At 34.5% G+C, this 23,257-nt stretch overlaps 1 protein-coding gene across 5 annotated transcripts in view; it reads right to left on the bottom strand.

The window, feature by feature from the left end:
• Positions 1–23,257, bottom strand: part of PTPRZ1 (protein tyrosine phosphatase receptor type Z1) — a 188,876-nt gene that overhangs the window by 149,513 nt on the left and 16,106 nt on the right. The window contains exon 2 of one of the 5 annotated variants that reach the window (NM_001369396.1): positions 18,898–19,000. The exons of the other annotated variants lie outside the window; for them this stretch is intronic. Within the exon in view, the coding sequence (NP_001356325.1) occupies positions 18,898–18,913 (16 nt within the window). The 5' untranslated portion in view covers positions 18,914–19,000. The remainder of the gene's footprint in view (positions 1–18,897; positions 19,001–23,257) is intronic. 5 annotated transcript variants of the gene reach the window in all.

The raw sequence follows: 23,257 nt of genomic DNA, 5'->3' as shown, positions 1-23,257 counted from the left end.
GTAGCTGTCATATTTCAATGAACATACACCTGTATGTCTCTCTTCTGCCTATGGATTACTTTAAGAGCAGAAACTAGTACACTCTTCGATCCTCTACATCATAGTATCAGACACAGAGTAAGTGCTCATGAATATTTAACACAATGAATAAAAAGAGATTCCTGGATACAGAATGAGTACAAACCAGTGCTAAACACGTTATCAACTTCATAACCATCTCTTATATTGTTTCCCATACTTGACTGCTATCAAAGAACAGTGGATAGGGACACTATATTGATAATGAAATGTAAGCTTTGCCTTGTTATAATTTTCATATAAAATGGTTGCAGTTAACAATAAATATATGAACTTTATTTCTAATTCCCTCTAGGATTTACTGGGCTTTCTTGAATTTATCTAATACTTCCTGCTGTTCAATTACGGACATCTTCAACTACACATTAGTCCCTTATGGATAAAAGAATCTTAGTTTCATACACTGGAAAATGCTTCATCATAATTTTTTATTTCAAATATAACAAGGAAACAGACACTTCTGTTTTCAAAACAGGTCTACTTTTATTAGAAACTCATTAACAGAACTTAAATTTTTCCCCGTTAAGTTCTTACACTGAAATAAATGTAATGACTGACCTTTAGTTATCTAGGTGCCTGTAATATTGAATAGCTTATTGAGATATTGAATAGCTTAATAAAGTGAAATGTATTTCATATGAACATATTTCATATATATGTGTATAAAATTAAAGTTTCCAAAATATAATGCATTTTCTTATATGATATGTGATAGATCATATGACAGATGTAATGCTTTTACAACCATACCTTCCTATCTCCCATCTAAGTTTCAGAAAAGGAAGAGGCTCTGAAAGGATAAGAAAAGGAAAGAAGATAAGATAAGGAAAGGATAAGAGAAGGAAGAAGTTAAGAATCAGAGACAGTGGCAAGGTTGCTGTTCATATTTGCTAAAGATGTGCATCAGAATTAGACATGAAAAGTTATTTTAAATGTACGCAATCTAGAAACATTTATATGGAAGAAAACCACAATATACACGTAACTAGTTATGACTACTGAGACAAGAAAAAAGGACTTTATTTCACAAAAATGGCCAGTTACAGTGCAATCAGATTACTCTGTCATCAGTATTTTCAAATATACAGTCAAAATGAAGATATGGATTTTTAAATTATGCGAAAGCTTAAATCCATGCAGGTCATAACTGTGCATATAATTATTAAGAAATATAATTTATTTTCAAATCAAACTTTATAAATGTTAGTGAAATTGGTTTCCATAAAATTATAAATAAGAATAGAATACTATGTTTTTAATAGAAGAAAGCACTATTAAATAAGTACAATATTAAACCTTTCATTACTCTTAGGTATGAGCTTTTATAGTTCAAAGCACAAAAATCCTCGTATTTGTAACTTACAGGCAAGCTAAACTGTAAAACTTGTAGGAAAACTCTACAAAAGCTTTTATTGTTGTCATTAGCTAAGTTATTGTATCATTCTTATTTTTATTCGATGTCTAGAACTTCTGTGGCTTTAAATAGCATTTAATAATTTAACTTTATTTTCCATGACTATGAATGCCATTCACTTCTAATAACATATACTAGAATCTTGACATTCCTTATTTTCAGGTATTTCCTGCTTATAAAACAGATGAAACATTGGTTTTAGAAATAATCATATTTTTCATTATAATGCCAAATTTATGTTCAAGCCTATTTCAAATTCATTCACTTCTCTCCATTTATCGTGCCTCTACCCAAACTCAAACCACCACCATCTTATGAAATAATGCATTTGCCTCCTAACTTGTGTCCCTTGTTTTGTCCCACCTTCTCTTTTTTCTTCCCTTCCTTTTTTAGTCTTTTCTTTCTTCATTTAGTTAATTGATACCTTCAACTAATATATACTGATTACATACTGTATGCCAAGCACCATTTAATAGCTTACTGAAATACTGAATAGCTCATTAAAATAAAAAGTGTTCCATATATATGTTTCATATATATATATAGGCACTTGAGATGCACTGGTGGACCCCCCAGCCATCCAAACCACAAACATGTTGTCCTTGTGTAGTTCACATTGTAGCAAGGGGAGATAGAAAGTTAACAAAAACCATAATAAATGACTTAATCATGCAGTATTTAAGAAGGTGATAAACACTATGGAGAAAAGCATTAGAGCGGAATAAGGCAGATGCATGAGCAGGTGCAATTTTAGACTGAGTGGTCAAGGGGAACCTTGCTGAGAAGTGACATTCAAGCAAAGCCTTGAAAGAGATCAGCGAAGAAGTCTGCAGACACCTGAGGGAAGAGCAGTGCTGGCACAGGCGCAGAGTTCCTAAGACAAGACCAAGCCCCATGTGTTGGAAAAACAGCAAAAAGGCCAGAATGGCTGAAGCTGAGAGCAGGCAGGGGAGATTACCAGGAAATGAGCTTCAAAAGATGAAGACAGCCTCTTCCATTCTTTTCTACATTGCAAACTGTCAAGAGTTATCACAGTATTTTTTGCCCTTTTAAAAATATTTACTTTTTTGTTAGACATGCATGTAGTTTAAAACTTCAAGGACTACTGCCAGACTCATAATGGAAAGCAGCTGTACCCTGCTTCATTTCACTCCACCTCTCCAGTCCAGTGTCCCACAGGTCACATTTTCAATTCTTTCAGCTATCTCTTCTGTAATTTAACTCCATATTTTCAGATAACATACTCTTATTGTAATTTTTGACTTCTAAATTTTAGATACTATATATTACCTTTTTACTTTCATGTATAAGTATTTATGCTAACTTAAATAGTTCTATTCTCTCCAAACCTAGAGTATAAATATCATATTTTAGAGGTATTCAACGTTATCATTATGTAAATATTCATGACTGTTGAGCAAAGTAGTGTATTATGATTATACTTTCTACTCGACTTTTTCTTGCAGTTAATTAAGGTCTTTTAAATTTGATTATTTTCTCAGGACCAATTGCTAATTTTCTCCAAATCTGTAAAACACTTCTAGATTTTCAAAACACATATGGATTAATATATTGTCTGATGCAGTCAATGAATAAGTAATATAGAATTTCCACTTTCCTCCCCGAAATCCTCTCATTCCAGTTGGACTGGAACTCGTTCCAGTTGGACTGAGGGCAGCAGGCTCTGCCTAGCTTGTGTGCTCAGGTCATTTTGATTGCTGTTTCACTGGCTGCAACTCTGGTTTCCTGAATCCCATGAATCCCCTTTATTGGTTTATTCCCTTATTTTGGTGAGCACTGGAGCATATACTCCAGCAGCTTCTGAAAAAAGAGTCACAAGATAAAAGTTTTTAGATTGTCTTGTTCTATCTTCACAATTCTAGGCTAAAAATAACTTTGTCCTCCAGTTTTTTAAGGCATGTATTGTGTTGTGCCATTATACTCTAATTTTAAGTTTAATTTGAAGGTAGAAGAGAGCAAGCAAATTGATTCCAAAATTACATTAGCACATATATCTAATACATCGAATAATCAGAAATAATCCAAAATGTGACAATACTAAAGTCTAACATGTCTGCTAAATATTCTGCAAATCCTAAATGAATTCCCATGAGATATTCAGGCACCAATGAATATTCAATAAAAAATTCCACACTATATATTTTATATATATTTCCATATACAAAACTATATTTGGACTTTCCCATTCCTTATCCAAGAGTATCTCACATTTATCCCAGAAAGATGAGTAGCACTATTAATAAAGTGTCATTAGTAATGTTATTCTAGCCTGAAATGTACTTATTGAAAACATTTTTAGATTAAAATTATTCAATAACCCATTTTGAATAGCAATTTATTCAAGTTTTTAATTTTTAAAAGCTGCTTACTTGAAGTATGGTTACTTGTAATTAAAGGGTAATGGAAATAAAGAGAACATTACAGACGTAAAAGATACCATTCTAGAGGAGAGGACCTGTAAGACTGGAGTATGAACATCTGAAACCCCATTAGAAAGGCTAGGTAAAAAACAAATCTTATGCAGAAACTAAAATATAACACAAACAAAAAGGAATATAAAAGTTGGATACATTAGTATTCTTAAAAGAAAGAGAAAAAATAGGATAAAATTAAGAAATACAGATGATGTATAGTTGATATTCTTTTCCAAAGGGATTGATCTACACATTTTATAAAATCTGCTACTTACAATGCATATAGCTGCTACAGGAGTGGTGGAACTAGAAAGATATGGAGTTGACAACAGGTGACCTGTTGTATAACCTGACCATATAAGGTAACTATGTGGTCAGGTTATAGTTAACTAACCATCACTAATACATTTCACTGGCACCTTGAAGAGAAATTATTCTACAGACAAATGATTAACCCTTCTTAATATAAAACATGGTATCCTCTTCCTCTATATTTATTTGGCAACACTTGACACATTTGGTTAGAGCTTAGTATGTTCAAAATTAAAATCATTGGTTCAATTTTCACATCAGCCAAACAACTTCTTCCATTCTCTACTCAGAGTCTGAATATCTAAATTTGATTATTATTTTGCAGTTGGATAGCTATATTTGCAAGTGTATCAGTTTAAGCTAAGAGCATATAGCCTTCAAATGGTGGCTAAGTTTTATTTTCATTTGAAAAAATAGTAACTTTTAGAAATAATCAAGGTAATTCAGAATCTCATTAAATTACACATTTGAAAAAGAAAGGTGTTTGATATTTTTAATTAGCTTTTATTAATTTTATTTGTGAAGTTTATTTATTTGTGAAACTTATACATGGAAAAGCTAATGTAGATATAAAATAAATTAGATCCTAAATATATTAATTTACATAATTTCAAAACACCCTGAGTTTAGGCCTTTCCAAAGATTTTAACGTATAAATATAAATACTCTAAACCTTGAAAAAATTGAGGATATTTTCTAATCATTTAAAATATTCTCTTAATCCTATGATTAAATGAAACCATATGAAAATTTAGATGGATACTGAAATCACTCTTTAATATATGGTCCTGGACTATCAGCAAATAATAAATGGTAAAAAGCATTAGTATATACATATGTCCTAAAAAAATGTGTCTTATGGTTTTCACTTGTAAAATATTTGTTCCTAGTTGTTCAACCACATATAATTAGGTAAAATAAATGTCTTGGAATTATTTGCCACATTTAATTCATTTTGAACATAAGTAAGTTATTTATTAGGGTGTGTAGTTCTTCAGGAAAACTAACATGGATTTTAACAAATGTGCCAATCAGTTTATTTTCTAGACTTGTCACTACATATTTAATAAAAGCAGCATAATATTACTCCAGTTATTCAATTAATGTGATATTTGTAAGCAAAAAACATAATTTAACTTATTCTTTTTATCATGCATTAGTCACATTATTAATTATTGATGAAATTGAACTCTATGAATAGTGTTTATTTTGATAATAACAAATAGAGATAAAATATTCACACATAAGAGACTTGTTTTTAATTCCAATATCACATTGTAGAATTAAAACCGAGGAATCTTGTTCTGTGAAAAATCTATCTGCAAACATAATATATAAGTATACCATTACATCACTGTCATCTTTAAAATGTAATAACTTACTATTCCATATGTGTACTGAATACAACTCAAGTTTATTTCACAAAATTATGGATCATAAACTTCATTTTAAAAATAGTGTGAGCAAAACCTGACCATTTATTATTTTAATTGATACTAGGAAACGAAGAATAAGCAAGCCACTGTCCACATGATGTCAAGCCAGTGAATGTCTTTAACATCTTTGACGTGTAGTCAGAACCCACTGCCCTTTCCCAAGCCCCATCCAAGACATAACCTTGAAATTAAGGGAAAAACCCAAGCCCCTTCAAACAAATCTTATTTTTGGAAAACGTGGTGCCAGCCAGACACCTACCAAACAATGCCAAGCTTCAACTTAATTATATTTCTTATGAAGCTTAATTGCAACTATGGAAGCCTACCTTAAGACATTGGTTCTAAAATACTGAACCGTATCTCAAATTGATACAATCAAACAAAATTTATAACATTTGATGAAAAATTTCTTTCATTTAGCCTTTAGTACATTAGTAAGAAGGCAATTAATATAGTTTTATTTTAACTACTACTACCAAACATAAAATAACCATGTTGTATATCAGAGAGTGAGCAATACACACCCACATGCCTCCTTAAATCTAAAATTTATATTTTGAACACAAAAGTTCATAAGGCAGGAAATATTCCAGACATAATCTTTCATCCTTGATACAGTCTTTAGTCAACCAGAGATCCTGTGCTTTTGGAATAATTGCTTCCTTTAAATGGAGGTAGAGACCTTTTAAAACTGTTACCACTAGGCTAAGTTCTAAGACCAGAGATTCCTGTATAAAATTAAGTTCTCCAGTTTCCTAGAAAAAAAGTACCACTGAAACATTACAGGGAAGGTAAGAGTATTACCATATACACAGAAAACCACAGCTTTTATTTGAGAAGCAATCTCTCATGCAGTCAAGGTTTTTTTGCCCTTTGTTTAGTGGAGGCAGTTGAAATAGAAATAAACCTACTTGTACTCACTATCATCAGTGCCTCTTGTAAATTATGCCAAAAACCCAGGAAAGGGATACCAACAGGGTGATTGAGCAAAACTGTAAAAGAAAGAGCAAGTGGTAAAATGACCAGGTGATCTATCAAAAAAATGCTTCCAGATTTACTTGCGGCCCAACCATACAGAAAAGATACTGTATTTTTACAGCAGGTCTAAATTTGAATTTATATCACAGACCCTTCTTTTTCTTTCACCTTTAAAGCACAGATGCCCACCATTTGTGTGTGTGTGTGTGTGTGTGTGTGTAAAGAATAGAACCCAGAATTCGGCCGGGTGCAGAAATCACTGTTAAGTGTTACATGTACTTCAGATTAACTTTCAACAAAATCTTAGATTTGAATCTCCCTATAGATGTCAATTTCCACTTGTTGCAGATATTTTAGATCTTTCTGAATGATTCTCATGCTCATGCTCCAATTTCATATCTGCATGGCCTTGTTGAAGCTGAAGTGGGAAACTGGGGACAAGACCCTTTACCAAAGCATTGTGTGAAGCAGCTGTCCTTGATGACTCTCCTCGTCTCCTTTGTCCACGACTCTTCTCATAAGGCCTAGGGAGAGGTGTGAGGGATGCTGGGGTAAAAGTTGACAGTAGTAGGATCTGTTCTTTTAGTAAGACCTGGAAAAGGTGCTACCTTTTACTATGGTTGGTGGTTTGCTATAAAACATGGAATTCTTAGACATCATTGTGTTCTCCCAAGGACCAATAGCAGTGATTCCAAGGCAAGAGAAAAAGTCTTCCTCAACATCCTGCTATGGAATCAAATTATCTATAGTTTCTTTGGCAAAATAAATATGAAAGCATATACGAAGGTTCAAATCAGTGAAAGAGCACAAGTGTTTTAAAAGCAGACGTAAATCTACATAATTATAGTTCATTTACAATATCTTTAACTAAACAACTTTCGTAGACAGCAAAAACGTAATTACTTTAAATCTACCAAACTCAAGTTAAAGACCCAGCTTTAATTCTTAGGTTCATGTAAAAGCTAAAAGATTGTAGATTACCTAATATCATTATTTTTCTAGGTAGCTGAACAAAATTGTGCTTGCATTTATTAAAGTAGAGCTGACATGAAAGGTTATGTTTTCTATGCTAAGTCAAGTTCTCCTTATTTTTTGGAACCAAACAATAAAACTCTGGAAACTACAGAAGTAACAACAGAAGTTATTATTTAAATTCTAGAAACCCCGGAATCTATCCTTTCAAATCTTACTAAATAAGACCATCTGAGTCTCTTCTGATTATAAGGTCCATAACATTTTTATAAATAAGGAATTAAAGTACATTTCCTGCTTCATGAATATGGCAAAAAATGTTGAGATTACTTACTGTGTTAAAACAAAAAAGATCAAAAATTAAAAACTCAAAATAATTGTTATAGTAATTATGATCATTTAAGAACATGAAACCAGAACAGGAAGATTCTGGTCCACAAGGTGAATATCTTTGGGGGCCTATGTCTGCTTTCTTTGAGTGAGGCTGTGAGCACCCCCACTGCACAGCTCCCTGATATGGGAGGCCTGGTTCCAGGCTGCCATCTGCGATCCATCTTAGTCCTCCTCACCAGTGATGTGCCCTTCACTGTCTTCCTTCTGGGGTGTCCTTGATTGGCAGCCAGCCTCCTGAGTGAGATACTTGAAAAACGGCTCAATCTCCCTTGTCTCCCCATTCTGTTTTCCCCTACTTGGAGGAACTGGAGGTGCATGCACTCTTGCTAAGCACATGTCCAACCAACCAGAATGGGAAATTATTTGGAGATCTATCAGGGAAGGTTTCAATACTTACTTATTTCACAGACTAACACAGAAAAAAAGTAACTTATATTCAAAGGCAGTCTTCCACTGTAATTTGAACTTTTTGTTCAAATTTTATTATCGTCTAAACACCTACTATTGTGTGTGTGTGTGTGTGTGTGTGTGTGTGTGTGAGATTTAAAGACTGGAACAGAATCCTGCATACATTTCAGATTAACTTTTAGCAAATCACTGAATTTAATTTATTCTGCTATTTTGTTCATTCATGCTTTCATTTGATATTTAGAGAATGTATACTATGTGCCATATCTTTCTTCATTTCTCAACCAAAAAATGAGCAACAATAAGAGGCTTACTAGGATTAACTCTCTTCTTCTTGCTTTAGGACTCGAGCTAAGGGATGAGTAAAAGGTGAAGTTTGAATTGACCTGGAGATTAATCTTTTAGAAAGAAATGGACTTTTAAAAACCAAAGTGAGCCGAAAGCACAAAGAATGCCATTGCAGGATAGAAAAGTAGAATTCACCCTAGCCTGGTTGGATACAATGGCTGGGTAAAAAATAAAAATCTTCATATTTATATTCCATTGATTTGATGTGCCTTAATGCTTAAAATTTCATTCAAAAGTTAGCAACAGAACCCTGGCTTTTCTTTCAATTTGTTTGATAAACTAATAATTTTGAACAATTCAAAGTGGAAAAATCTAGTGCTTTACCAACAGTAGAAGCCTGCAATAAAATGCATCTCTCCCATTTTTTCATTGTACAAATAATGAACATGACAACAGCTTTTTAAGTGAATAAATGATACTGTAGTTGATACAGTCTAACTAGAGAATTTCTAGCAAATTCATACCTGCCAGAAAAAAATATGCATTTTTATCAAATGAGATAAATTCATTTTAAAAATCACAATGTTACATGGTACCTAACTATAATAACACAGTTGCCCAACCTTAATTAAGTGATGCTATCATAATTGGTATTGCTCTAGTACTAAGTGCAACAGCAGTATTCTATGCAAGCAACGGACTGGACAGTCTTGTTCTCCTCTATATTCCCAGCAGTCAGCCCAGTGCATGACATGTAAATGTTCCATATTAAACAAATATATAGAACTTTCAAAATAGGAAATTTGTGGTAGACAGCTGTTATCTCTGTTTATTTTTTTTTTCTTTCTCCTACATCAAAAAGTAAATCTGCTGATTTTTCAACATTACACTGCATGGCTATGGAATCTTGAAGAAATACAGAAAGCAGTATTATAAGGTTTTGCTTCATTGTAGGCATGAAGGCAGATATTATCAATAAACATTGATCAATAAACTAAACAAAGAAATTAATACACTATCTTCTTGACACTGGATTGTAATAGGTAAAAGAAAGTTCAGGAACTCAAACAACTCAGCAGTAAAAATAATAGTAATAATAATCATTTGATTAAAAAACAGACAAAGATCTGAATAGATATTTCTCAAAAGAAGACATACAAATGGCAGATAGGTAAGTGAAAAAAATGCTAACATGACTACTTATCAGAGAAATACAAATCAAAACCACAATGAGATTTCATCTCATCTCAGTTAGGATGGCTATTATCAAAAAGACAAAAAATAACAAATGCTGGTGAGGATATAAAGAAAGGAGAACTCTTATTCCCTGTCAATGGGAATGTAAACTAGTATAGCCATTTTGGAAGAAAGCATGATGTTCCTCAAAAAATTAAAATTAGAACTACCACATGTGTCAACCATTGCACTGCTGGGTATATATCCAAAGGAAATGTAATCCAAAGGAAATGTAATCAATATGTCAAAGATATATCTGCACTCCTATTATTGCAGCACTATTCACAGTTGCCTAGATATGGAATCAATCTAAGTGTCCATCAATGGATAAATGAATTTTAAAATGTGGTATATATACATCACAGAACATCAACCATAAAAGAATGAAATACTGTGATTGTGACAACATGGATAAACCTAGAGGATATTATGTTAAGTGAAATAAGCCAGGCACAGAAAGACAAATGCCACATGCTCTCACTTACATGTTGGAACCTAAAAACATTGATCTCATAGAAGTAGAGAGTAGAAGAGTGACTACCTGCTGGTGAGAGTAGCGGGGACAGTCGGGAATGGAGAGGGATTGGCCAACAGGTACAAAGTTACAGTCAGATAGGACAAATAAATCCTGGTGTTCTACTGCACAGTAGGGTGACTATAGCCAACAATAATGTATTGTATTCTTCAAATTAGCTAGAATAGGGAATTTTTAATGTTTTTGCCACAAAGGAATGAAAAGTGTTTGAGGTGGTGGGTATGCTAAGTACCCTGATATGATCATTATACAACGTATATACGTATTGAAACATCATATTGTAGCCCATAAATATGTACAATTGTTATGTGTCATTTAAAAACAAAATAAAACTTTATTCAGGATAATAAAATAATCTTCTACACTCTGATAGGCGTTTATGAAATAACTCCTAGAAAAATTATTTCAGTAAATAGCATCAAAGGCCAAGTAATTGTTACATTCTAAAAACACTAATCTGTAATAAAATATCAAGAGATTAATTATAAATAAATTCTGATTTGACTTGTGTAATACTTCATCAAATTTTAGAATATACTAACAGTGAAGACATTTTTGGTAACTCTGTAATTGTGTAATAGTCACTGAATCATTTCTTTAAAAAGTGATCTATATTTTATATCTTGAAACAAACATACAGAAAAGATTTTAAGGCCATTTTAACAAAATACATCTTTTCTGCAATAATATTTACCTAAATCTGGCTTTTATTACATTTTTCCTGAACTTTACATAACATTGCCTCATCCCTATTTTTAGCTCTGTTTTCTCACTTTGAGTAGGTTGTGAAGACGAAAATGAAATTACTGGCATGCATAATGTTTTTGCTTGAATTATGGAAGGGGCTTTTTATAACATTGCTCTCTGTTACTACTTTCATTCTCAACAAAGAATCACTCAGAATCTAAGGGCATTCATGGTGTTAAATATCAGAAACAGAAAACGGGGTACATAGATCAGGACATATACTACTAAAATTCTTTTTCTTTGAATTCAGACACACTAATCCAAGCTCACCTACTTAGCAGCTACATGATATTGAACAAGTTATATGACCTCCCTATGCCTTATTTCATTTGTAAAATGGATATAATAAGTCTTACAGGGTTGTTATGTTGAACTACATGATAAATGGAAAACAGCAGTGATTGGCACATCGTTCATGTACAAGAAACAGTGGTCATCATACTTATTATTAGACTTTGAAGGTAGAGATTTCATTGTTTTATTTTGCATCCCAAACACTGATCACAGTGCCTTTTACAGTGCCTATTAAAAGAATACATAAACATATTCTGGCTTCAGGTACGTCCTTATGGTCCTATGTCATTCTCCTACTGCAAAGATTTAGAGCCAGGCAGGAAGAGGCGTCTGAATAAATTGGGCAGCATGACTTACCCTTATCTATATCCTAGAGATGAACCACTATATCAAAGCTGTTTGTTGGTGGGTTCCCCCTACAAACAGATACAGAGACTCTCAAGATCTCTTTGCCAATTGTACATCATTTACATATCATGTGGTAAGTTAGTCTCTGGTGCTGAGGACTTCATGGAGTAGAATGGGAAGAGAAATGTATAAACAATTACCATAGAATGGGTTCTAAACCATCAATGGGATCCAATCCAATAAATAGAAGAGGCACATCAAAACAGCGTGATTTCACAAAAGGAGTGACCTTCCTGGGACAGACAGAAAGGTATCAGAGACAAGGCAAAGTTTGTATTCTGTTGTAAAGGGTGAGCGGCCTCTCCTGGGTTGAGCAGTTTTCTTGAGTTGCCAGGGCTTTGATCCTTGTTCACGTTTATGACCTTGTGTCTTCAGCATCTAGTTTCAGTTCACCCCTTCTGCTTACCTTCTCCCTGGTCATGTTTCTTCCTTCTTCCAGCTCCCAAACTTGACCTCTGCACTCTGAAATCCAAATACAGGCTCTCAACCTGTCTCTCAGGTTTCAATACCTATTCTCGTGCCCTGTTCTGTCTCAGTAATTGACCCTCTCACATCTGCTCAGGCTTCAGCCATGAGAGTATCTATTGACTGGGCCAGAATTTTCTTCAGAAAACTGATCTGTGTCCATTCCAATAGCTTTGCAGGCCCCTAGGTTTAGCCACTGGAAACAGTGGTCACTGCTATTAGAGAACTAGTTCCTAAGCATAAATACTATTGCTAGAGTTTCCCTGTACTTTAAAAACTCTCTCTTGTCCAAGGCCTCAAGCTTGGTCTCCAATAGTCCATAAAAGGAACTCTGAATACGTGAACACCATGTAATACTCTCTCAAGGGATCTGTCAACCTCCAGTTGAAGGCTGCTCCATAGCCCCAGTCTGACTTGCACAGAGCTATAGGGTCTTCCAATCAGATCTGGTCCTTTCCCCAGGTCTAGGGCATGGGTATTCACCTGTCCCAAGTTCCCATCTTCTCTGTGCTCAGCTGTAATTCCAAAGAGCTCCAGGACTCAAGCTTTCTCAGGAGAGAGATAGCCTGAAAGAAACTAGATAATGTCCCTACAATACCATTCTGTTCAAATGAAATCTGAGCTTTCAGTAACTTCAAAGATATATAGAACAAAACTTCTGATAACTTAAAAAAATATGAACTTTTATAGTTAGCAGAATTTATCTTCCATATATTTTATGTTACATATAAAATATTACAAATATGACAAAGCAGGAAAGATACAGAAAATGTACTTGAGAGATCTTGAAATCACATATGAATATACTTGCAAGTATTAGAAGGTAGAAACGTTGTGAGTCATGAATGAAAATAAATATAATCGATTTGAACTGGGTAATAAGCTTTAATGCCTAGTGGAATTTGCCAAAAGGAAGAAAAGAGAGATATGTTCTCATAATTACAGTTTCATTTAAAACAACTAGTTTTAAAAAAAAATCCATTAGTACTGAAGGGCTTTTGAAACTACAAAATGTTTACTGTCCTGGGACTTGAATAATAAGACCAGCTGAGAGATGGAAAAGAAAGCAGTGATGGAAAAATTTTATCTAAATTATAGCAATATACTTTAAATTACAGCAATAATATCAGGCTTTATATATGAATAAATAAAAGTTTACACTGGACTTGCTGAGTTATTTCTGTAGTCTCATCTCATATCAATTCCTCATGCACTGCCACCATTAGTGATTCCATGCCCTATTTTACTTCTTGAACACACACTCTGTTCTAGCTTTTTTCCCCTGAAGCTAAGTAACCTCAGCTACTTACTAAGAGCTTCCCTGAACTTTTTGGTAGATTTTAAGTAAGTATATGAAATACTTCTCTTTGTAGCAAAATGTACTTATTCTTAGAGCAGCAGATATACCACCTTGTTCTGATGTATAGGTTAGCAAGCAAAGCATTCAGTAGTACTCCCTGAGCAGACTTCTCAATTTCCTCAAAAGAAACATATTCAAGATAATTCCCTCATCTACGTGAAGGAAGTGTAGACAACATACATGAAGTTGGCATTATTCTGGCAGGGAAGAAAAACAGTATATTAAAAAAAATGAAGGCTGACATCAGACTCCATCTTCTCATTCTCTAGAAAATACAATTTGAATACAATGGAGACAATATCTATTACATTTATATTACAGCTATTCAAAACAGCAGATAAAAGATTTCCAAGAAATTCCTTTAACAGCAGAGCCGCTTTCTGGAGTGTATGCAACAACAGCATTTTTGGATTGTGAAAACATCACATCCTGCTTCTTCTGAATTTCTCCATTGAAGGCTGTTCCACAGCATAGAATCATTCATAGAACATGAAAAAAAAAACCCATCACATTATTCTACAATTAAAAGAAATCTTCTCTGAAGTGAATTCAGTGAGTAGGATGAAACTTATGAGAGCTGCACATATTCCTGAATGTCTCTAAGTACTTACATGGTTTACTGTTTTGTTTTTGCACCGAGAGGACTGATAGCTCTCTATATACATTATCAGGTATCATTTTCTGCTACTGTAGTATTTAAATGTACCACCGAAGTGGTACATTCTACATTTGGTAGGATGTTATTTTCCTCCTTCCTGAGGGCAAAGTTCTTTTTTCCTTCTTTTAATTTAAACTAGATTATCTAACGGATCCATTATGATATAATAAGGTTTTAGGGAAAAGAATCAGTGCTTAAAAACTCTAGTTGAATGGCCAAATAAGTAATAAGTCATCAATGGATAATTTTGCCTTATATATACCATGATGTCCTCTGCATTTCTGGCCACCACAATCACTTAGTGTTTCTTGATCACTCACTCTGCCCATGGAGCCGTAAATATATTCACTACATGCAACCTTGGAAAGGAGGGAGAGAAAGCTGCTGTGCATAGTTTTGGGTAGAGTAATGCTGTGAGATTGGCAGGAAGACCACGGGTCAGGTTTCCCTCTTAGTGGAGAAAGTGAACAAGATCTTCTAGCTAGCAGAAGGAGGGATTTTGGTGAAATATGTATATTAAGATGGGCAGTGACAGAGAGTGCAGACTAACCAACCAGATAGCATCGTGCATTGCTGGGCTGTGGGGATAGAGGAATGTATAAAACAAGGTAGAAAAACAAGAACAAATGTCCATACTCTGAAAGCACCATGGCAGCAGAAAGCCTCGAACCCACAGTATCAATGTAAAAAACTTGAGATTCTGGCTTTGAAGAAGTCATGTTACATTTTTTTTTCCATAGAGACTAGTTCTTAGGAATGTGTACGCTAAATCTATGTCAAACCTATTTCAAACTGTATCTCCACCATTATTATGAGTAAAGCCCGTTATCACTGAAGGGTATGAGGTTAAAAGCAGAGGCTTTGAAATCAGTAGACCTGGGTTCAAGTCCAAGTTCTGTTACCTTCCACTTATGACTTTAAGGAAGCTAAAAGACCAATAATAACAAGAAAAACAACAATAGTGTCTATCATTGCATTATAAAGATTATATGAGAACACAAATACAAAGTGTCTGGTACTATGATTGTCTTGAGAAATGGTTATTATTAATAAGGACAATACAAACCAAGCTAGTCTCTTTCTTTGTACAAGAAATGTTCATTATCAAATACACCCACTGACAATTTAGAGATTAAGGCAAATTGCCAATTGAGGGAAAAATAGATTAAAGCCATAAGCACGGAGCAATGAAAAATATCTCACCCCAGAAATATCTCACCCCAAGCCCTCAAAAACATCTAATCTATACAAGTGGAATCATACAGTATTTATTTTTCTGTGACTGGCTTATTTTACTTAGCATAATGTTCTTGTTTCTTTTTTTTTTTTTATTTGAGGCAGAGTCTCACCCTGTCACCCAGGCTAGAGTGCAGTGGCGCGATCTTGGCTCATTGCAAGCTCCGCCTCCTGGGTTCACGCCATTCTCCTGCCTCAGCCTCCCCAGTAGTTGGGACTACAGGCACCCACCACCACACCCGGCTAATTTTTTGTATTTTTAGTAGAGGCGGGGTTTCACCATGTTAGCCAGGATGGGCATACTGTTCTTAAGGTTCATCTATGTTGTAGCATATGACGGGTTTTCTTCCGTTTTTCAAGGGTGATTAATATTTTATTGATACATATACCAAATTTTCTGTGTCCATTCATCCATTAATGGACATTTAGGTTGTTTCCATCTCTCAGCTATTGTGAATAATGCTGTAGTATCTAAAGTAGGCAAACTCTTAGACACAGAAAATAGAATGGTAGCTTCCAAGGCTGGTGGAGAGGGAAAAATGAGAAGTTGTTCAATGGATATAGAGTTTCAGTTATACAAGATTAAGACATTCTAGTTAGATCCTGTACAACGTGCATATAATTAACAATTCTATACTGTACACTTAAAAATTTAAGAAGGTAGATTTCAAGTTATGTGTTTTTATCACAATAAAATTTTAAAACATCTACTCTATATCAATTACAGAATCATTGCTGTTAATGTGTTCCTTTTTAAAAATGTACATATGTCCTTATGAAGGTTGGAAATTCAAAGTCCAGCATAAATTACGTTGATCAGATAATCAGTGAATATATCTATAAATGAATACTCATAGAAATGGATATTTGATTGGGAAAATAGGCAGAATGACTAGGGAGCCTGGTAACACTTGGCGAGAAGGAGGACCCAGACAAGGGGCAGAAAGGGGGATTCTAACCTTCCAAGTGCAACGAAATAATATGTATCTGGGGAGGATAGGAGAAGAATACATCAAGGAAGAGGGAAGATGCTAAGCCAAACTTTTATTTCTTTGAGAACTGCCTAATATCTGAAGGATCTGGTCTTTTGCATTTCACTGACAATTATTTTCCTAACCGGTTTAGTGTACAGACTGTAGGCTGCCAACGCCTTTTATATCCTTTCCTCATAAGGCCAATCTGAGTCGTCTTGAAGACTCTCATATGATCCTTTACGAATGAGAGATCTTTATTTCTAGTGTGTAACACTAGAAGATTCATAAAATTGTAGCAATGTTTACAATAAAATAATTTATAAACTAAGCCTTTACAACTTGTAATAAACAAAATCTTTACTTTCTCCTGTAGTTCACATTTCCTTTAAAATATTATTTTACATCTCTCTTAATAAAAATCTAAGAAAAAGGGCATTGCTATTTTTGTTGCAAATGGGCTGCAAAAATTCTAATTAGCTTATGAGATCAATTCTACCCAACACTATCAACTTCCTGGAAGTCCCCTTATTTCTTAAAAGCCTACAATTCAATAATCTAGCTCCCAAAAAAGAGAAATAAGTATGATTATCCTACACCTGCAAGACTTAAAGAGGGTAGGGGAAACAGTACTAGAAGAGAACAGACAGGAGAGACAGGTCATAGCTATTTTTCTCATTAGGGTCACAGCCAGACTTTCAGGCCAATGCCTATTTTTATGGGCTCCAAAAACCAGGGGCACATCCTCTGTTTTAGAAGAGAAAGAAATAATATACCCTTTTAAAGCATTTGGATATCAAAATAGCTAAAGATTGTTGATCAAAAGATATAAACAATTTATGCAAATAAAAGCCTTCAGAGGACACATTTTCCTTCTGTCTTCTCTTCTAAGAGAGGGATTATCATTTTTAAAATTAAGGTGATACTCTCAAGTAAGAACTAACTATGATGACATTTAGCGTATCTTTCACTTTTAAAATCTATCCACTTCCATAGTTATAAATCCCAAAATTATCTAAAAAATTATATATGACAAAGACAATGAACATAATACACCTTCCCCCAAATCCAATAAAGTCTATCAAAATCCAAGGAAATGTCAGGGGGAATCCAAACTACATATCCTTAAGACAAAGAATTCTAATAATCTATAAGCAAAAGAGCAATGATTGAATGGGATAAAAGGCAATTTAGGACCAGGTGTGGTGGCTCACACCTGCAATGCCAACATTTTGGGAGGCCCAAGTGGGCAGATTGCTTGATCTCAGGAGTTTGAGGTGAGCCTACGCAACATAGCAAAATCGTGTCTCTACAAAAAATACAAAAATTAGCCGGGCATGGAAGTGCGTGCCTGTAGTCCCAGCTAAACAGGAGGCTGAGGTGGGAGGATCACTTGAGCCCGGGAGGTGGAGGTTGTGGTGAGCCAAGATTATGCCACTGCACTCCAGCCTGAGTGACAGAGGCAGATCCCTTCTCAAATAATAAAAAAAAGCACAATTTAAACAAAAGATTTGTACAAAAAGCAGTTCACAAAAGAAATGGAAACAATAATAAATACCAATGTAAATGTTCAACCATATTATTCATCAAATAAATGTCAACTAATGTATTAGTTAGTGGTGTATTAGAGTGGTGTTTCTGTTCTTTTGGTATGTTAAGCATTTAATGCTGGGAAGGGTTTTGGCAAAGGGGTCCTTCCGTATACTGCTGACAGGAGCACCAACTGGCACCTGCTTTTCAGAGTGCAGTTTGACAATGTGAATCAACAGTCTTAGAAATATGCCTAACTTTGTGGCAGAACTTATCCTTCGAAAAATTTTTTCTAAAAAATGATTAGATAGTAGGAGTTAAGGACTTGGAATTCAGACATAGATCTGAGTCTCATGTCAATCAACCATTTACTAGCCCTGTGCACACGATCGGGTTGTTCAACACTTTCTCATTTAACCTATTATAAGTCTAGACTTCCTCAGTCATATCCCTGAAGGAGGATAAAGAAGTGTAGCTACCTAATAATATCATTATATTCAGTTGAAAAAATACATACAAGATAATTAAAATACTATCTGGAACCCTATAAATATTTAGGAAATCTTGGCTATCATTAAGAAGTTGTTACAGGGGAACCAAATGTAAGAATATTCATGAATGCATGGTGAATAACAGAAAAAAACCTGTCAAAACATATTTTAATGAAATACTAGTTTGACAGTGATTGCCAATTGCTCCCCAATAACCATTTCCCCCTTTTTCTACAGTCACAAATTGTTTACCTGAGCACCTGGCCATCCAGAATAAATGCTAAATTTTCCAGTCTTCTTTGTGGACTTGCGGCTAAGTTCTGGCAAACTGAAGAGTGCAATTTCTGCATTGTATCTGTAAAGGGAATACACAGGCTTTGCCATTTCTCCATTTCTCCATTTCATTTGACAGAATACTGACAGGATTGTGAACTAACCAGGAAATATGGAAGAGAGTAATACTTCCAAGACAGTGGAGCAAGATAAAAGAACATTGGATGTCGACACCACGGTGCAAACCATCTTGACTGACTTTGTAAAAGAGAGGTCCACCAGTCTGGACTGACAAGGAAAAGAAAAGAGAAACAAATCTATTCTTGTTTGAACCACACAGCCATTTGGGGTTTTTTTGGGCATGCAATCAAACTATATTCTAACTGATACAGTGACTAAAAATGATGTTTAACGACATGACAAAGTTTCAGTATATTTTAGATTCAAAAGGCAGATCACCAAGCCATTTGTATAGGGCAATCATTGTTAAAAATGTACACCTCTCTCTTCCTCTCTCTCCCCCTCCCTCCTTCCTGCCTCTCTGTGTGTATATATGTGCATGTAGAAAAATGCCAGGAAAGAAGTTAAATAAAATGTTAAAAATTTGTATCTCTGATGGAATTGTGGATAAATTTTATTTTATATATTTTGTTATTTCTGAATATTTGCAATGATTGTGTATAATTTTCTAATCACAAAAATATTTTTCAAAAAAACAAAGATACCCACTACCATGCAGAAAATGATATATTTGGTTGAAAAGCTAGCATATTGCTAAGTCTTGATATATTATCTTTATTTTCAGGTAAATCCTAACTGCCTTATTATGGAGAACTGATTATTTTCTTAAGAGTCACTGCAAGACATTTATATAAACATTACATATATATATATATATATATATATATATATATATATATATATATGAGATGCTTGAAGAACTCTAAGATATATCAGGCAGAATGATTTTGCCCTTTAAATGGTGAAACTGAAAAGCCAAATTTAATACTTGTGAATAATCTTGTTAAATATTAAAGATTCAAATACATAAATTTTAATATATTTAATTATTTTGTTGATGGAGAGAAAATTAAAATACTCTTATGGTCTAATACCTCAACTAGTCAGAGTTCTGTGTCTCTTCCTTTTACCAGGCAGGTACTAAGTTTTGAAGATTTCCTATCCCACCACCCCACCTCCTCTTGCAGCCATCAAATATGCCAAATCTGGCATAAAAGAAGTGACCTTGAGGTGGAACTTTCCGTTCTTTTCTCAGTAACACTAAATGCCATAACATAAAAAAGCAGGGACCATATGTTTTGTAAGAAAAAACGTTGTAACCAAATAATTTTATTTGCATCCAGGTTGTCTTGCACATGTGAAGAGAAAAAAGACATAACATATATGTCTTACACAGAAAACAAGTTATCTAACAACACTTCAAACAATTGCTTCAAGGAACAGCCCAACCCCAAATGCTAAAATTATGGTATAAAGCAACAAACTATAAGCGCTAAGACATAAAAAATACAAATAATTTTTGTTAGGCTGGCTGCTGTATGACTATCCAAAGAAAATGTAAAAAACAAAAAAACTTAAGAACATTCTTTATTTAAAATAACAAATTTGTATTTACATTACTAAATGACAGTGACAGAGAAGTTAGAGGGAGCTGGAAGAAAGCTGCTGGTGGTGGGTGGTAATGCATTTCTTCTCTGCTGTAGTGCAGGACTCAGAAAACAGCTTCACTTTTGACAATGACAGAAAAAAAACTTAAGGCATTTTACTAGTTAATGTCTAGAATAATTAAAAATGTGACCTAGAAACGATAAATGCAAAGACCAGACAGTGCAGAAAGCAAAAACTGGAGAGTATGTAACACAATTAGTATGGATAAATATGAAAAATCAAACAAGATGAAGAAAGAATGTTGAAAAAGTAAACTAAGATTTCAGACAAGGTCAAAAAATGTGATTATATGATGTTTGCAAGGTTCATTTAACATTAATAAAAAGTTGCATAAAATGTCAAAAATAAAATGACAATGCAAGTTATATATGGCAATACAAGCTAAAAAAAGAAGCAGTGATATCAGCCAAAATAGGATTCAAGCAAAATCAAACTAAAAAAAAAAAAAAAAAAAAAAAAAAAAAAGAGGTTGTTTTATTCAACAAATATTTACTAAGCACCTATCATATACCAGGCATTATGCTAGGGTCTGGGGCTCCATGGTGAACAAACACAAAAACCTTCAAGGGGCTTACATTCCAATGGGAAGAGATAGAGAATAAAATAATTTAGAAAAATGCATGAGTGATAAGAACTAAGGAGAAAAATAAAGAGGGGAAGACAGAGGACATTTGAGAAGAGAGGTGGTTGCAATATCACTGCAGTGTGTCCAGGGAAGTCCTCAAATGAAAAAGTATCATTGAACAAAAACCAAAGGAAGTGAGGAAGTGGATCATAAATAATTATAAAAGAAAGGCATTCCAAATGGAGAGAACAGCAACAACAAAGGCGTTGAAAAGAATGTGCCTTGGTGATCCAGAAAGGCTAGGAGGACAGTGAGGCCAGAAGAGGGGAGTGAGGGGAGAGTGGAGTGGGAGGTCACTGAAGAAGTAACAGGAGAGCTAAGCATGGTGGCTCAAGTTTTTAATCCCAAAACTTTGGGAGGCTGAGGCAGGAGGTTCACTTGAGTCCAGGAAGTCAAGACTAGCCCAGACAACATAGATAAATTCCGTCTCTACAATAAATTTGAAGAAAAAAAAAATAGCCAGGCATGGTAGCACATGCCTGTAGTCCCAGTTACTCAGGAGGCCGAGGTAGGAGGATTGCTTCAGCTTAGAAGGTCAGGGCTACAGTGAGCTCTGATCATACCACTGCACTCCAGCCTGGGTGACAGAGGGAGACCTGTCTCTAAATAATAATAAAGTAATTTTTTAAAAAAATAAAAAGAGAAATAATAGGAGGCCAGAGCATTTGGGGCTTGATGGACACTTCATGAGTAGAGATTTTGGCTTTTATTCTGAGTTAAACAAGAAATTGGAGAGTGACATAATCTGACTTACATTTGAACAAAATCACCCTGGCTGATTTGTATGGTGAAGTAGGGAGACCAGCTGGGAAGCCAGTGAAATAACCCAAGAAGACATGATGCAAGTGTGGATAGGTGGTAGCAGTGGATGGAGATCATGAAAAAATGTAACCCAGGAGCAATACTGACATTTGCAATGGAAGATTATGTGTAGGCTGTAAGAGAGATGGAAGAATTAAAAGTGGCTCCAAGGTTTTTGTCCTAAACAACTGAGTGCAGTTGTTATTTATTGGGATAAAGAAGACAGTGGAAGTAGGAGTTGGGATGGGAGGAAGATCAGGAGATCAAGTTTGAACATGTCAAGTTTGAGAACTGTGTTACATATCTAAATGGATAGTTGAATATATGACACTGGGGTTCAGGTACAACTTCTGGTCTAGAAAGACAAATTTGGGAGTTATCAATGTAGAGAATACAGGGATGAGATAGTCATGCAAATAGTGTAGATGCAAAACAGAAGTAGCCCAAGGAAGAACTCTCAGGACTACAATGTTTAGAAGTTGGGGGGATGAGAAGGAACTAGAAAAAGAGATTGAGGAAGACAGTGGAGTACAATGTATGTGGCTAGTGAGATGGCAGGAAAGCCAGACAAGTATGGCATCCCGGAAGTCAGGTGAACAAAGCATCTCCAGAATGACACAATGATAACAATTGAAAGCTCTTGGTAGGTCCATAAAGTGAGGACCAAGAACACTGAATATTGGATGTACCAACGTCAAAGGCACTGGTGAGACTGATAAGGTATTTTTTTTTGTTTTGGAATGGTGGGAGCAGAACCCTTTTTAAACTGAGTTCAGGAGCAAAGGACAGGAGAGAAAATAGATAGTGACTATAGAAAACTCTTCCCAAAAGTTTAGCAGGCAATGGAAGGGGAGAAATGTGGAAGAAGTCAAGAGAGGAGTTTTTGGTTTTGTTTTATTTTTCTCTAATGGTAGAAATAATAGCATGTTAAGAAACACCTATTATTTTAACCACATTTGCTGATTAACTTATCATATGCTAAGCTAGTAATTTGAAATAAAACACCAATGTTTCAATTATGAATGGATATAATGCAACAAAATTGAATTTTGTAACTAAAGATGTGACAGTCAGCTGTAAACATTCACACAAAACCTTGCTTCAGGATGGCAAGAAGTCCTTCCAAAGTAATTTATGGTACCTTTGTCTACATTCTCTAGTATTTTACAGCCCTTTCTGCTTTTGCACAGAAGATATATCCTTATCAAAAACTTCAGAAGCCAA

This window comes from Homo sapiens, chromosome 7 (assembly GCF_000001405.40).
Source record: "Homo sapiens chromosome 7, GRCh38.p14 Primary Assembly".
NCBI classification, from domain to species: Eukaryota; Metazoa; Chordata; class Mammalia; order Primates; family Hominidae; genus Homo; species Homo sapiens.
The sequence above is the reverse complement of the archived record's forward strand: the minus strand, read 5'-3'. Positions and strand labels throughout refer to the sequence as shown.